The 16,660-nt window shown below is 49.0% G+C and overlaps 1 protein-coding gene across 5 annotated transcripts in view, besides 2 other annotated features; it reads left to right on the top strand.

Moving 5' to 3' along the window:
* Nucleotides 1-16,660, top strand: part of DIP2C (disco interacting protein 2 homolog C) — a 415,468-nt gene that overhangs the window by 119,273 nt on the left and 279,535 nt on the right. The window lies entirely within an intron of this gene.
* Nucleotides 12,712-13,285: an enhancer, noted in NCBI's record as "H3K27ac-H3K4me1 hESC enhancer chr10:603051-603624 (GRCh37/hg19 assembly coordinates)". NCBI's record gives its function as "activates a minimal SCP1, AML or CMV promoter by ChIP-STARR-seq in primed H9 embryonic stem cells {active_cell/tissue: H9 hESC(primed)}" and the evidence as "EXISTENCE:reporter gene assay evidence [ECO:0000049][PMID:30033119]".
* Nucleotides 13,286-13,859: an enhancer, noted in NCBI's record as "H3K27ac-H3K4me1 hESC enhancer chr10:602477-603050 (GRCh37/hg19 assembly coordinates)". NCBI's record gives its function as "activates a minimal SCP1, AML or CMV promoter by ChIP-STARR-seq in primed H9 embryonic stem cells {active_cell/tissue: H9 hESC(primed)}" and the evidence as "EXISTENCE:reporter gene assay evidence [ECO:0000049][PMID:30033119]".

Here is a 16,660-nt window from a genome sequence, read left to right as displayed (position 1 = left end):
GGAGTGTGGGGTTGGGGGTCATGCCCAGGCCTTTGTGGGGCTTGCTCCTGTGTCAGCAGGGCCCTGTGCTTGGCCTCTTTAAAACTGTTTCCTGATCCATAAAATGGGCACGACAAAATCCACCTTGTGACACTGTGAAGTTTAAATGAGATGATCTACATAGTGTCTTCCTTCCCTTCCTGACACGTCATAGACTCACAGCTATGGTGGCAATGACAGGCTGGATGGAATGCTGGAGCTGCTTTGTGCCTGATGAAGCCACATGGATTTGTGCAGTGCTATGACTATCTCTGAAAGCCTTTGGTCGTGGCAGTGGCAGCCTTGAGTGGCTCTTGGCATACTTCAGTCTGTGGAGTGCAAGGTTGGCTGGAGCTCTGAGGCCATTGATACTATCCAGGGGTGAGCTGATAGGACCCTAAAACATGGGGGAAGGCTGAGAGGACTTGGCTGCCAGAAGCACTGTAGATTTCTGGCTTCCAGAACTTGCTGACTTATGGACATAGGAAGGTAAACCCAGATGGCTTCAAAATTTTAAGTCAGGAGGAAAGGTGTGCGAGGGTAGAATTGCTGACTAGGTCATGGTTGCCATGTCCTTGTGGCCATCCTCTCTCCTCCCTACCCCTGCCTTTGTGGGTAGGAGGGCCTGAGCCTGCACAGCCGTCTATTTCATGGTGACGATGGCTGATTATTACCCTGCAGTAAGAAGTCTCTCCATTTTATTTTGCAGCAGTAGTTAAATAAATTTAAGGAGTGATGGTGTAGTGGTATTTGTTTTGTTTTTGCTTTTTTTTAAAAAAGAATATAAAACAAATGAGTATCATTTAACCGAATGTTATTCCCAATTTCACTGATCACTTTAAGAGGCCACACATGCTTTGGTTTGTTATTTTGCGTTTGAGTTTGAGCTAGTTCATTTTCTCACGGGAATGCCAATTCGTTATTCTGTTGTCACACATCATTATGTATCTCAAATTGTATTACTATAATACTTAGCTGAATTGCCTCCCTTGTTTTGGCTTTTACAAAACTCAAATCTGTGTTAAACACAGGATGGTGCATCTCCATTGAGGGTTGTTCAAAAGTGTGACTTTTCCTGGCATGCTTGAGAATCAATGACATTATTTTATAGAAACACTTTGTAGCTGACAGCAAAGCTAGAAGCTTCTGTAAAGGGCAGGGTAGGCAATGTGTTATGCCTTGTGGGCCACGGAAGTCTCTGCATATTCTTTTTCTTTTGTTAAAACTTTGAAGTGTAAAAATCACTTCTGGTTCCCTGGCCAAGGCTCGGGGATTGTGGTTTGCAGACCCTTGACCGCACCTTACCTGAAAGCTGATCTCCCATGCAGTGAGCAGGAGCCCACTTCATTGGTTCAGCCAGGAAGCCGCTGCCCTCATGCTGGAATTTACTTCAAACAAACTTTGAAAGCTCTGGCACAGCTGTTCATTTCCTCCTTGTTGCAGGCCATCTAAAATACGGAGCGTGCCTTGGCATTTTTGATTTTGTTACTCTTGAACGGCTCTGAGATGGCTCATTGCAGGTAGACATTTGCAGAAACGATCAGGCAGAGCCACAGCCATCTTGCAGATCAAGTGAAGGTTTTTTTTTTTTTTTTTTTTTTTTTTTTTTTTTGAGACGGAGTTTCCCTCTGTCGCCCAGGCTGGAGCGCAGTGGCGCGATCTCGACTCACTGCAAGCTCCGCCTCCCGGGTTCACGCCATTCTCCTGCCTCAGCCTCCCGAGTAGCTGGGACTACAGGCGCGTGCCACCATGCCTGGCTAATTTTTGTATTTTTAGTAGAGACGGGGTTTCACCGTGTCAGCCAGGATGGTCTCGATCTCCTGACCTCATGATCCGCCCGTCTCGGCCTCCCAAAGTGCTGGGATTACAGGCGTGAGCCACCGCGCCCGGCCTCAAGTGAAGTTTTTTCCGAAAGCTTGTTACAGGCTTAAATTTCTGATCCCTTTCCTTCTACTGATCTTGGATGATTCGTTTCTTTTTGCTCTCATTTGGGTCTATGAAACTTGTTGAACAGCGTCTCACCCCACGGTAGAACTCTAGCTCTGATTTCACGCATGAGTCGGTATCTTCACTCCTCATTTGCAAGGAGAAAGCACTGCAGGTCCTGTGTGGCTTCCATCCCCTCCCTGCACGGGGATTGATGTGAGAGGTGTTTGAGGTGTGTGAACTCGCTACCCCTGGAGCCTCCTGGTTCAGTCCCTGGGCCGCACTCCTCCCTTTTGGGGGCTTGGTGGTTTCTGCTGTGCTTGTGCCAACACAACAAGGCTGAGTGGAGCTCCAGGGCTGTGACAGCTCACGCAGCTGTGGCATTAGTGCAGAGAACTGCGGGGATGCAGCTGCCCTTGCTGTGATGCTTCGAGTGTTGTAGTCGGTGTGGGAAGCTCGGTGGGACGTGGATGTCCTGGGATGGGATGGGAGCCTCCCCTCAGCCTCTATCAAACACTTCTCGGCCAGGCGCGATTGCTCACACCTATAATCCCAGTGCTTTGGGGAGCTGGGGTGGGTGGATCACCGGAGGTCAGGAGTTCGAGACCAGCTTGGCCAAAATGGTGAGACCCTGTCTCAACTAAAAATCAGCAGGGTGAGGTGGTGTACACCTATAGTCCCAGCTACTCTGGAGGCTGAGGCAGGAGGATCCCTTGATCCTGGGAGGCGGAGGCTGCAGTGAGCAGAGATCACACCACTGCATTCCAGCCTGGACAACAGCGAGACTGTCACAGAAAAACAAAACCAAACTTTTCTATGTCATGCTGACTGGTGCTCACGGCTTGTAAGCAGAGGAGAGAATGTTTGTTTGGCAGAAATATTCAGATGATTTAGGAAGTCTTTTCTGATTAAGAGAATCAACAGCCCAGTTAATTATCTGCTAACTTTCAGTTGTGTTGTGGCTGGGAGCAGGGGTGGCTGTTAAAACAGATGCCTGTCTTTGGGAGGCTGAGGTGGGTGGATCACGAGGTCAGGAGTTCGAGACCAGCCTGACCAACATGGTAAAACCCCATCTCTACTAAGAATAAAAAAATTAGCTGGGTGTGGTGGCATGCACCTGTTGTAATCCCAGCTATTCAGGAGGCTGAAGCAGGAGAATTGCTTGAATCTGGGAGGTAGAGGTTGCAGTGAGCTGAGATTGCACCACTGCACTCTGGTCTGGGCGACAGAGTGATATTGTGTCTTAAAAAAAACAAAACAAAACAAAAAACCCCCCAAAACCGGTGCCTGTCCTCCTTCCGCCGGAGTTGGATTTGATTTGGCAGCTCTGAGATGGGCCCTGGATACGTGTAATTCCAGATTCTCAGATGATGCTGATCTGGGTTTTGTGCAACCAAGTTGAGTCTTAACGTTTAGCTTCTTTCCAATTACAAAGAATTATTTTTCCCTTTCTGAATAGGTCAGTTCATCTCAAAGAGATTTGAGCCACCGGAACATCAGTTCTGAGATGGCTCCCTCAGCATTTGATGGTGTATGGAATGGGATTTCTCTCATCCAAGCCTTGGTTCAGAGGCAGTACGTGCTGTGGATGAGATGTCTCTGTGGCACGCTAGCTGTGCATCACAGCAGCCATAGACGCTGCTCCGCATGGTGCCTGTGAGCCAGGCTGTCTGTCCGATGGGCCTGACTTTGAGCAGTCGTGGGCCACGGCTGTACCCTGCTTGGGACCCTCAGAGGCACCGTTGTTGTCTTTGAGAACACCGCCTCCATGGCGAGAGACCCAAGAAATCTTGGCCAGGGGTTGCTATGAAGAAAGCCTGGGCTTCTGTGTGCTGGGGCTCATGGGCCCTCGCCTCTGGAGAGGGCAGGAAAAGGTGCTGACACCTGTCTCCTCAGCAGCAGCATCTGTGTTGCTATCTGAACGTGTAAGTGTCAAAGTCTAACTGAACTGTAAAAATATCAGTGTGCGGTGTGTCTGTGCTGTTTGTGGTGTGCTACTCGAGAGGAAAGGCAACTGTAACACTCCAGGGTTTGGTGGCGCCTCTGGTGGGTCAGCGGCTCATGCACCAGGTGAACCGGCAGCAGCAACACTGCTTCTGAGGAAGGCCTGGTGCGGTTACCCCGCGAGGGTCACGTGAAAAAGTATGTTGGTAAGATTCCTGGCCAGGCTTTTAATAAATGGTAACTACGATTACAGTTTAAAAAGGGGCAAAAAATTGTTTCTTCAGACACTCTTAATGGTAACTACGATTACAGTTTAAAAAGGGGCAAAAAATTGTTTCTTCAGACACTCTAAAATGTAAACTACTAAAGTCCTAAAATAAGGCATTGATTTTAGAAGTTTCTATTCTTAGAGCATGTCCCAGTGTTGAGATACGTGGTTTTTTTGTTTTGTTTTTTCTGGTGAGTTTGGAATCCGCCCCTCTCTGTCAGGGTTCTGACAGTGTCTGAATGCCGGCCTTTGCAGGAGTCCAAGGTGCTGCCTCCAGCAGGAGAGTGGGTGACGTGGATCTGAAACAGCAAATCAAAGCCGGGAGCCCACATGGCCCTGCCTGCTTCCCAACGTGTGAAGTGCTGGTCAGTGGTTTCCTTCCACCCTTGGACTCAGTTATTAGGCTGTTACATACCTCGGAGAAGGGCGCCAGCCTGAGAGGGTAACTCCTGCTTTAGTCTCCTTGCTGCGCTCGACTCCGTTACGCGACTGTAAGCACATATTTTTATGCTTGGGTTTTGGGCAACTGCAGGAGTTTGAAATTTAAGTGCATTTGATGATATACCTTTAAAAATGAAGCTTACATGTAGCAAACGGGAAACACACCATTTTACATCCTTATTCCTTTAGCATGTGTGAATTCCATGGTTTTAAATTCTAGGTGAAGTTGGGTTAGTAGTCTGTGGAAAATGCCTCTCTTACGATTGGAAAAACTGATTGTTCATCATATGCCTTGTTTAAAAAGAGCTAAGATGGAAAAAGGGATCTTCTGGGCTGACTGTAGTTGCTGACAGTTTCACTGCATGTGAGATGTGTGGTTTTGAAAGTTTGACTCTGCATTATGGGGTTGTGTGTGTTTGTCTAGGTCTTTTTTTTTTTTTTTTTAGAATGCAGGTACTGTTTCATATTTTTAGGAGTCACATGGTTTCCTCAGCTGAATTTAAACTTGTGGAAGGGCGGTACTCTTAAGGTTCTTAAATGCTGTGTATGTACAAATGCCAGCATGATGCTTTGTACAGAGAGGACATTCACGCTTAGTCTATTGATGGAATGGACGTGTTCTCTTGCCTGTGCTCACTCGAGGCCCTGATACTGACTAGGGGTGGTCCAGGCTCCATGGAAAGCTTCCTAACCAATTAGGGGAGTGATGGAACCGCCCTCTCCTACAGCACCTGGTTTGCCATTGAATAGAGGAAGGGAAATTGCTGGTAGCAAAGGGGACCAGAAAAGTGTTTACTCTTCATCTTCACCAGGTTTCCAGTAGATGTTAAACTCACTGAGTTCTAATGTGGTTTTGCTTGGATTTATTGTAAAGGTGATTGACAAACACAGAGAAGAAAGATTTCTACTGTGTGTGTGAGTCTTCTAGGAAGTCAGGTTGGGAACATATTTGTTGTTTTCCAGTTTCTGCTCACGTGTTATGTGTTTTTTTCTGAGATGGGAAGAGCACTGGGTGGAGGTGGCTGGTGTGTTCGGCCGAGTAGGCTGAGTTCTGTGCAGTGCCTGGTGTCTGCTGGACGCTATGCTGAATGCTTCGGGCATATTGGCTCATTGAGTCCTCACAGAAATCCGCTAAGGAGGGAACTTCTTTTACCTCATGTTAGAGATGAGGAAACAGAGGTCAAAAGGAGACAGGCAAAATGCCACAGAGTCCAGCGGCAGACCTGGGATCAGAACACAGTGCTCAGCTTCTGTGTGGACACCCTTAGCTCTGCTGCGCTTGGCCCTCAGCTACTGGCCAAGATGGAATAACAGGTACTAGACTTGCCCCTGTCCCTGGAGAAAATATGTGGAACAATGGTTCTTAAGGCTTTGGACGTCAGGCAGTGAAGGCCTGTGGGTGAGAAGGGGAGTGAGTGAGGCTGCCCCAAGGTGACGTCCAGGCTGGGGTGTGGGGAGGGTGATCTGTGGTTGAGGAGATGGAGCTGTGGGCTGGAGAGATCAAGGAGATGAGGATGGTTATGTCCAAGAGAGCCAGTGACGTTCACCCAGACGCTGCTGCCTCAACCACGTGCGGGGGTGGGGGGAACGTTCTCCCCCGAGGGCCTGCTAGTGAGTAATGAGAGGACCACCATGGACTCAGACACTTTATATTCTCACAGGGTCTGAGAATTTGCTCCCCTAAGTCTTTTTCTGTTCCATATTTTTTACCTGATTAGTTATGACACATCTTAGCAGATTCCACTTCAGGTTCTGTAGAATTAGTGTTTTCTCAGCTTTGAAATCTTCTCTCAAATAATTGATCCATTCAGATTATTCACAGACTTTAATTCTTCAGTTTCTTCAAATTCAGCATCGATTCCCTGAATGAGCGACCTCAGCAGTGTTGGGATTTTTGACACATTAAGAACTAAGGAAAATGACTCACACTCATTTGCCTTGCTTCTTAATTGACTATTGGTATAGCCCAGTAGTCTGAACTTGTTCTTGACTATTGGTATAGCCCAGTAGTCTGAACTTGTTAAGCAACCATTCTCACCGAAAGACTAATAATCTTTAAAAGTCTCTCTTCCTCTGGACGCATCTTTGGCTGCTGTAATCAAATGCAATGTAATCAGCACTGGTTAATGGCTTTCCTTGCTTTGCTAACAAATGCTCCTCAGAAACTTTGGTTTCTTTTTCATTTTCATTGTTGTGAAATTCTGCTATAATTATATTTTAAGCCTTCTGATTTTTCTAGCTTTCCTGCGAGTTGGAAATACTGTGATGGGTGCTTAGTTTGGGATGTTGACGTACACTGTATGCCTAGCTACTATGCCATTGCATGAATACTGATTTGTCACTTTCTCATGAAGACTCATTTCACCTAGTTTGGTAAATTCTACTAATTTTAAGGAAGGGGGTGGAATACAACTGCTGTTAGGAGGTTTTTTAAAGGATCGGGGAAATATTGCCATTATTATTACCACCATTACGGAAGGAACATAAAAATACGTGCTGCTTTCAGTCATTATGAATATGTAAGTCTGCATCTGTGACTGCAGAAAATGGCAGCCCCAAGCCTTAAAATCGTATGGATGCACCAAGCCCGCCTGCAGGGCACTGTGGAACAGTCTGCATTAGTCGAAGTTGGCCCACTAGCCCTGAGGGGGATGGTGTCTGATTTATGATAAGGCCCTGACTTCAGATTACAGGCCTCCAGATACTGTGATATTCTAAACAAAGACACAATACTGCCCAGAGAGCACTTGTAGGCAGTGTAGGTGAGAAAAGCCTTCAAGGAAGATTACTGCTGCTCAGCTAGGAGGATTCTGCAAGGCAGTAGACTTTATAAGGTTGCACACGTCAATGTTCACAGAAGAGTATTTAGCTATATTCATTCCTTTTAAGCAGCCAGGCTTGTGTGTATTTTTAGGGGCACTCACATGGCAGCTCTTCCACTGTCACTGCTGGTTGTGCACTGTTGTTTGATGTTATGGATTTCTGTGTTGAGTGTGTCCTCTCCAAATGTATCTGTCTCTAGAATATTTTAGAGTAGACCATTTATTGGTTAAATATATGAAAAGCTCTCTGAGGGAACAGAACACTTGTTTTCAGTGAGGAAGAAATCTTTAAAACTGGCCATGCAGACCCTGTTATAAATGTTTAGCAATGGAATGTTTAATGTTTAACACGTAATGTTTAAAGTAGAAATTTTAATTTAGAAATCCTGTTGGAATGCCAACTTAAATTACGACCATCCGTGTGCATATGGAAAAGAATGAGAGTGAATGTACAGAATTGGAATTTCGTCTATTTCGTAGAGATTCTGTAATGTATCAGGTACAAGTCTCACTTCATGATTCAAATGAAGGAGACTGAAATTATAAAAACTGACAAAAACATGCCTTTGAATAGTGAGCCATTATCCTCCTTGAAATAGTGATTCATTCACTAGAAGGTCCACCTGTAACTTTGTCAAACACATTTGTTGCATTAGTGCTCAAGTGAGCTCAATTTTCCAGACAGGGAAATTATTGCTGCTTAAAGTTTGTCCTGATGATGTTGGTGAACAGGGAAAATCCTTTGACGTGGATCCTCTGTGTGTGTTAAACATCAGATGCGGCCTGCCCAACCCTCTGCCTGTAACTGGGAACCTTAACTGTCAGGATCATTGTGGAGAACCTTGAGAAGGCAAAACAAAAAGCCTTTGGAGTAGCAAAAGATGTAGCTGATTTCATGCAGTAAAGCTTACACATTTTTCTTTAAAATGCATCCTTCGGAACGTCCGCTTGCTGATTATTTTAGAATCACTATAGTCTGGTGACAGCAGTTGTAGGAACAGGTGCACGGCCCGGCTGGTGCAGGAGGGTCTCAGCGGAGCCGCACTGCTGACACCGAAGGTGGGGCTAGAGCTGTCACGCGTGACTCGTGCAGATGGCCTTGGCTGACCTCCAGAAGAGGAATTGTCAGTATCTAAGGAGGAAAAAGTGTATTAATTTCATGAGTATTTGCCTTCACAATGGCGAAAACACTGAGTTTTGTGGCACCTGCTCTCTCTGGAATGAGGAGTCTTCCCTTCCTGGCAGACAAGCTCTAGACGGGACCAGGAGTTGTGTTGCTGGATTGAAGAGGTTTCCTTCCTGGGGAGGTGGCCTTCAAGCCTGACTTGAAGGAAGCTGTGACTGGCGGGAAAGGGCCTTGGAGACAGTGCGTTACCAGGAGGGTCAGTGGCTGAGAACCATCCTGTTCCGACTGTTCCCATTGTGGTTTTAGAGGAGTAAACTTGGGGAGAAGCAACAGCCAAAAGCCTTGAGGAACATTCTGTGATGTTGATCACGTTTGGTTGCGTTGTTGCTGAGACTCTCAAATGAGAGGCCCTGGAGGTGCAGGTCTCTCAGGCCTTGGGACATGGGAGAGCTGCTGCTTCAGGGGTTGGAGTCCCCATGCCAGTGGCTCTCAGTCTGCAGAGACTTCTCGTACAGTGGGCAATTGCTGCCTCCAATCCATTGTGAGTCCCCTTTAACCTGCCCCAAAATAAATACACATGAAAGGTACCATGTCAGCAAAGAGAATCAAACTCTGTAAGGTATTTAAAGAGATTTATTGTGAGCCAAATGAGTTACCATGGCCCACGATACAGCCCTCAGGAGATACTAAGAACCTATTCCCAAGGTGGTCAGAGCACAGCCTGGTTTTGTACCTTTTAGGGAGACATGAGACATCAATCAAATAAATGTAAGATGTACATTGGTTTGATCTGGAAACGCGGGGACAACTGGAAGCAGGGGTGTCCAGGTCATAGGTAGATTCAAAAATTTCCTGATTGACAGTTGGTTGAGAGAGTTGTACGATTAAGGGGTTGTGTGGAGACCAAGGCTTTGTCATGTGGAGGGATGCCTCCAGGTAGCTTTGAAGAGAATAGATTGTGAATGTTTCCCGTCAGGCTAAGAGTCTAAGTTCTGTCTAATTCCAGAAGGGAGGCGGGGTGATAAGGCAAGTCCCACCCCCCACCGATCATGGCCTGGACTAGTTTTTCAGGTTAGCTTTGGAATGCCCTTGCCAAGAGTAGGGGCTGTTGAGATGGCCAGGGGGGCCTAGAATTTTAATGCTTTTACAACCAGAAAGTGATTACGTTGTTTCTGTGGATGATAGCCCGTGTGGTAATTAATATTTTATTAGCAGATTAATTTGAAAGTCAATGTGTTTTCAAGTATGTTAATTATTAAGTTATCAGCAAACAGAAAGCTTACTTTGAAACCAGCCTGAGAATCAAGAGGCCTATCAAAACAATGGACTTGGGAGAACTGATTCACGTGTTCACTGCCGCGAGTTTCAGGCATTATGAGAAGTCTGTGTGCTGATACATTAAGTGACTCGAGAACTTAAATCCTGATGGACTCCTACTTAACAGTGACACTTTTTTCTTTTTTTTTTTAAATGGTTGTGTTTAGCTTGTCTCTTGTGTTGTGCAGCTTTTGTCTTCCAGCCGCTGAGCACTTTAGCTTTGTGTTCACATGGCCTCATTCTCCGAACCTCCCCTCTTTGTGACTCCTCCATCCTGTCCACCTTGATCGCGTGTCTTCTCCACCCCTGTGGGTTTTATCCCGAGGACTGCTCTCTGCTGTGCGTGGAGGGATGATCAGTGGACACTGGCTTTATTGACTCATTTTACACCTAGCTCCCAGTTTCTAAAATCATGATTGTCTTGGTTTCCCTGTGAAACTGGGAGTCAGGCCTTGGGCGCAGTGCTGGGTGTCTGTGACAGGGCAGGAGGGAGAGGTGAGAACCGGAGGGGGTGGGGAGAGAGGTGAGAACTGGATCGGGGGGAGAGGAGAACAGGAGTGGGGGGGAGAGGTGAGAACCGGAGCAATGAGTTCATCAAGGGGAAGGAACACCTCCCTGAATTCCTGTGTCTGTTTTAGGTTAAAGACGAATGGCCAGGTGGGTGGATGTCTCACCCGGTGTGGCTGGACCGTGCTGTGCTGAACCCTGAGCAGGGGCCCCAGCAGTGGCCTCCTGCCAGGCCGGGGCCATGGGGCTCCGGGGCTGGGCTTCCTCCTCTGGGGTGGGTTGTGAGGGCTTGTGCATGGTGCAAGAGTCTGCACAGCTGCTGTGTGACCCTGAGGGGCATGTGGGTAGCTGGTCTGTACTCCTTACCTGGAAGAACCTGAGCTCATCTGGGCCAGAGCCTTTGGGGAGGTAGGAAGGCAGAGACCTGGAATTCCTGCTTTCTCCAGACACCAAGAAAGCCCAGTGTTGCATCTGCTCTGAGGTGCTGTCAGCAGCCATATATAGTTGTTGATTTTAACATGAGGGAAGGTGCCGATTAACCCAGGTCTGTGGGGAGCTTTGAGGAGTCCAGGCCCTGGGCTTTTAAATATGTTCCTTCCTCAACAAAAACAACAAAAGACCCCTGTGGCTGATGCCGACTGTGTGTGGGGTAGGACACACCGAGCTTGTGTGGGGCTTCCCCCGGCGTTCCCCCGGCGTTCCCCACCGCCCCCATGGACACCAGCTGTTCCAGGCCGAGGCTTGTCCTGGTTAGACCCTCGTCGTGGGGTCTGTGGTCCCGGATCGAGGGCCCAAGCACTTCTCTCATTATTAAAGTGATTCACCTGAGATGTACAGCTGCCTCCAAAGGGTCTCATGAGCATATGAGATACAGCCAGTGCTGCTGCCCCAAGCTCATAATTCTAGTGGAAAGGAGAAATTTTACTTTTAATGTGCTTGTGTGACTCAGATGCAAATATTCAACTCCCGTTAAACTTGCAAGACCTTGAAAACCTCTGAGATTCCTTGGAAACCACTCCTTGGCCCCACGACCTAACTCACCTGTGGAGGGGGTGGGGTGGTCTGCCGGGGGAGGGGTTGGGCTGTCGGTGGGGGAGGGGTCGGGTGGTCCGTGGTGTCTGGGGTCCTGCTGTGTTCTCCAAGTCTCCTTCTATTTCATCATTAGCCCCAGCTCTTCAGTGGGAGAGCAGATTCACTGACATTGCCATTATTTTGTTCCTGTGTTGCCTCTGTTAACTTAAAATAATCAATATTTACCAGAAATAATTGATGGCGAGATGGGAATTATTGGTGATTCCCTGACATAGGCGGCCTGTATAGATAAGCATGTTACAGTGTCTGATTTCCGAGATGTTGGTCCACACCTTCTCAGAAACACACTTTCAGGCTTAGATTCCTGTGCAGGAGAAGCTGCCTTTCCCCGAGACGCGATGGTGGGCCCCCGCACTGGCATGGCAGGGTGGTTGTGTGACTGGGCTGGGCTGGACGTGCTCCTGTCCCCCTGCGCTGGGCGCCCGCCTCCACCCCCCGTATCTACATCGAGGGTGCCTGCCTTTGTTCCCCCAGCTCGTGGTGATACAACTGCACCTTCCTTTACGCATTTCTGAATAGAGATGATTAGGTCTGGGGGTCGAATCTCAATCCGTGAGATGCATCCAGGTAAATTATTCACACACATGACTCGAGTCCTCCCATCCTGGTTCAGGGTCAGGAAGCGGGAGGTGGGTTTGGAGACAGCTGTGTGGCCTCAGGAAGGTTCTCTCAGAACCTGTTTCTTTCTCTAGCAAAGTAAGGATTCCTACCTCACTGGGCTTGACGCATGCTCAGTACTCAGATGCTGTCTAGTCTTTATCATAGTTAGTATTTGGGGAACAGCGTGGCTGGTAAGACAATGCGTTATCTTTCCAATTTATAGAATGTCATATGAGGCAAGCGTGAAACCAGGACACTACCCTAATCTGAAGATGCTGTTGCTTACTCTTCTTAAGCATTTTATTATAATTCTGTCATGTGTCCGCCCTGTCATGTGACGGCACCCTGTGAGGTTGCCAGGGAGCATCCCTCCTGCCTCCAGCCCTCCAGGGTTTCGCCCTCTGGGGTTTCCCCCTTCCCCGCCCCCTTCCCCGCCTGCCCCTGCCCCCTCCCCCTGCCTGCCTGCCTGCCCCTGCCCCCTCCCCCTTCCTGCCTGCCTGCCTGCCTTCCTGCCCCCTCCCCCTGCCTGCCTGCCTGCCCCTGCCCCCGCCCCCTCCCCGCCCATCCTCCCCCTCCCCCTTCCCACCCATCCTCTCCCCCTTCCCCTCCCCTGCCCTGCCCATCCCCTCCCCCGCCCCCACCCCCACCCCCACCCCCACCCCCACATGTGTATGTGCCTGTGCACTCACCACCCTGTATTGGGTCATATGTTGCATTTTACAGATTGTTGTTTTTCACTTGGTATTGTGAGCTTGTAACGACTTTGTGAAGAAAAGGGGGTCCTGGCAGCCTTTGGCTTTGAGAAACGTGATGTCGTGGGAACAGATGAGACAGCCCAGGTGAGGCCAGCAGAGGCCATCATGGCCTGGGAGCCTGTCTGCATCCACTGTCTGTTGCTGTGTGACAAGTGACTCCAAAACCTAGTGGCTTAAGGCAACACACACGTATGACTGTACAGCTTCTACAGGTTGCAAATTTAGGGCAGCTCTGCTGAGTGGTTCTGGCCCTGTCCCCCTGAGTCACGGTGAAGATTCTGTCCAGGGCTGTGGCTATCTGTAGGTTCAGCTGGGCTGGAGGTTCTGCTCCAGGATGCTGTGCTGACGTGTCTGCTGGCGGAGGCCTGGTCCTCCACACCGGTCCCTCTGTGGGGCTGCCAGGCACATCCCTGCCCAGGGCTGCTCCTTTCTGCAGAGACATAGGAGTGCTGGTCTTACGCCCAGTGTCAAGGTGGCCGGTCTCCTGGCCGTGTCCCGTGGGCCACACTGACCAGCTTTGAGCTCTGCAGGAGGGAGCACACAGCCGTGTGGGACCATCGAGGGCTGGCTCCTGGGCCATCTGAGAAGCCCTGGCTGTTGTCTTAAAGCTGAGGAAAATGGCAGAATCTGGCTGTGAGCTGGAGAGAGAGAGGAGAGAGTGCATGTAGGTTTGATGGGCTGTGAAGGTCAGGACAGGGCTACGAAGGACTCAGGTGCACAGATCCCTTCCAGGGTCGGGGCTCACAGCATGTTCCTCTCTGTGACTCAAGGCACACACTTGTTTAGGGTGGTTTTCTGTCTTTCGCTTGATGCATCAAGAAAAAACGTTGTTTTCAATGTGGTAGGTGTTGGGGGTGAGTCTGGGGCTGTTGATTCCAGCAGAATATCCTGAAATGGAAGTGTGGACAGGATGCAGGGCCAGGCCCCAGTGGGCAGGGTGGCAACATTGTGGAGGGAAAGGGGTTTGTTTCATGTGTCTATAGCAGATGGTGACACGTTGGAGTGACTGGGTCTGTGAGGGAGGAGCTGTGTTCAGTCTAAGGCTGTTGAGTTTGCTGAGGAACCTCCAAAATGTCCTGGTAGAGTCAGGTGGCCGCTGCCAGGGCGTGTGGATCCCCCTCTTGGGAAGGTGTGGGTGGCTGCGTGATGACACTCTGAGGTCCGAGTGTCAGAGATGGTGGTGTGCGCAGCGGGGCCCAGGACAAGCCTGGGATCCGGCTGTGGGAGGGGTGGGTGGGTGCCGTCCTGGGATCCGGCTGTGGGAGGGGGTGGGTGGGTGCCGTCCTGGGATCCGGCTGTGGGAGGGGTGGGTGCCGTCCTGGGATCCGGCTGTGGGAGGGGTGGGTGGGTGCCGTCCTGGGATCCGGCTGTGGGAGGGGTGGGTGGGTGCTGTCCTGGGATCCGGCTGTGGGAGGGGTGGGTGCCGTCCTCGGATCCGGCTGTGGAAGGGGGTGGGTGGTTGCTGTCCGGGGATCCGGCTATGGAAGGGGGGGTGGGTGGGTGCTGTCCTGGGATCCGATTGTGGGAGAGGTGGGTGCTGTGAGGGAGTCTGCTGCGACTGGACTGTAACAGGATTTCCTTGAGAATTTGAGGTGTGTTGGGGGCAGGGTCAGGAGCAAAGGCTTGTTTCCCCTACTCAGCGGCTGCTGCTGCAGGGCCGGGCAACAGTGGAGGTCATGCAGGAAGGGTGTTCGCTGAAGACCGTGTTCTGTGACTTGAAGATGGGTGTTCCTCCCGTGGGGGTGGAACGGAGACTGGACGCCGTGTGGCTTGAGAGTGGCATCCTGCGTGACCTTGCGTGTAGTGGGCTTACAGCAGAGCTAGTCCTTCCTCTATAGATTCTTTTCATAGTTTGCCTGCCTTTAGATTCTCTGATTAACGCATCTGAGGTGGGTCCCAGGAGTCTGCCACCTGCCAGGCCAGGAGGTTCCCCTCACGTGGCTGGTCCCCAGATACCCTGAGAGACACGGCTCAACAGGATCACCTGAGTTTCCTAAATATGAGTCACCTGCCTTCTCTTCTGTTTGCTTTCATGCCTCCCCCAGGGTGGGCCAGTCCTGTCAGCCACAGAGATACCCGCATGCTGGGGTTCCAAGGAGATTGGGGGTGTGCCTGGTCACCCAGGGAGATTCGGCGACTGAGGATGCTCTGTCATAGTAGCCAGCGTGTCCTTACTCTTTCACCGTTAATGAAGTTCGGTTATTAGGTTTTCCGACGCACGATGTTGTCCTTATGAAAAATTGGTGATGAAGGAAGCAAACGTGTGGGAAAATGATCCTGCCCTTAAAACTGAAAAACAATAAAACAGCAAAGAGCCCAGAAGAGCCCGTGAACCTCCTCATGGGGCAGTGAGGAGAGACCTCAGTAATGGCTTGGGAAAAAAAAAAAATAATACTGAAGAAAACATAAACTAAATTTTGGGTCTCATATGGGTAAAGAGATTGTGGTTTACATTTTATAGGCATGCATTTTTACACTTATTTTTCTTTGTTGGAATTAGAATTAGTTGTGATAAACATGATTTTTTTTAAATGAAAAAATTACTTGGGGTCAGTATATGAAGTCTAATCCCTTTGTGATATTTCTGTACTGTGAGACTCCATATACAAAAGTGAAGCCCAGACTCTGTCTCTGACGAACCAGAGAGAAGTGGTCATCTCCTGCAGGCCAGTCTGGCCTCCAAGTGTCTGTCTATCCTCTGTCTCGGGCACACCTGCATCACTGGTGCTTCCTGCCAGGCTGTGACTCTGTGCCCAGGTTTCAGGAGCACCTGGAAGTTTTCCTGATGCCTTTTGATGAAGGACTCACTCCCCACTGCCAGGCAACTCGGTGATTGCTCCCCAGGCTGTATTTCTCACATGGGGTGCAGAATCTGTGCGCGGTGTCCTGGCCCTGGAGCCAGTTCTAGGACTCCACGGCAGCCTTGCCTCTGCCCCTCATCTGGGAACAGGGCAGTGGGGAGGAGAAGGGAACCGGGGTCTTGCCCCTTCTGTGTCTCAAGAACACGGGAACACATGGTCCCACTTCCTCGCACCATTCACAGCCCAAGGTTTTGTGAAGTATTTAAGTTATTTTATAACTTATAACCACCCTTGACAGTGATGTATTTTATATAAGCAGCACATAGAAAGTGGTAATTTAATACCTTATCAAGCAAGATCTAAACAATAAGGATCAGATATCACTGTAGAAAAGGTTACTTTCTCCAGGAAACATTTATCCACTGCAGATGGAAATGAATCACTGCTTCCTCCTTGGCTGCTTCTGATGAGCCTGTGAAATTCTGTCCTGTTCACCACTCTTACAGTTACAAGCATATACTTTTTCTCCTATGATGTATATTTCCTGCCTGTTCGCCACTGTTAGTTACAAGCTATACCTTTTCTCCTGTGATGTATATTTCTTGCTTGTTCACCACTCTTAGTTACAAGCTGTACCTTTTCTCCTAAGATGTATATTTCCTGCCTGTTCGCCACTGTTAGTTACAAGCTATACCTTTTCTCCTATGATGTATATTTCTTGCCTGTTCGCCACTCTTACAGTTACAAGCTGTACGTTTTTTCCTATGAGGTATATTTCTTGCCTGTTCGCCACTCTTACAGTTACAAGCGTATACGTTTTTTCTATGAGGTATCATTTCTTGCCTGTTCACCACTGTTACAGTTACAAGCGTATACCTTTTTTCTATGAGGTATATTTCTTGCCTGTTCACTGTTAGTTACAAGCGTATACGTTTTTTCCTATGAGGTATATTTCTTGCCTGTTCGCCACTCTTACAGTTACAAGCGGTATACCTTTTCTCCTATGAGGTATATTTCTTGCCTGTTTGCCGCTGTTACAGTTA

This window comes from Homo sapiens, chromosome 10 (genome assembly GCF_000001405.40).
Source record: "Homo sapiens chromosome 10, GRCh38.p14 Primary Assembly".
Classification (NCBI taxonomy): Eukaryota; Metazoa; Chordata; class Mammalia; order Primates; family Hominidae; genus Homo; species Homo sapiens.
Note: the sequence above shows the minus strand (reverse complement) of the source record. Positions and strands in the feature narration are given on the sequence as shown.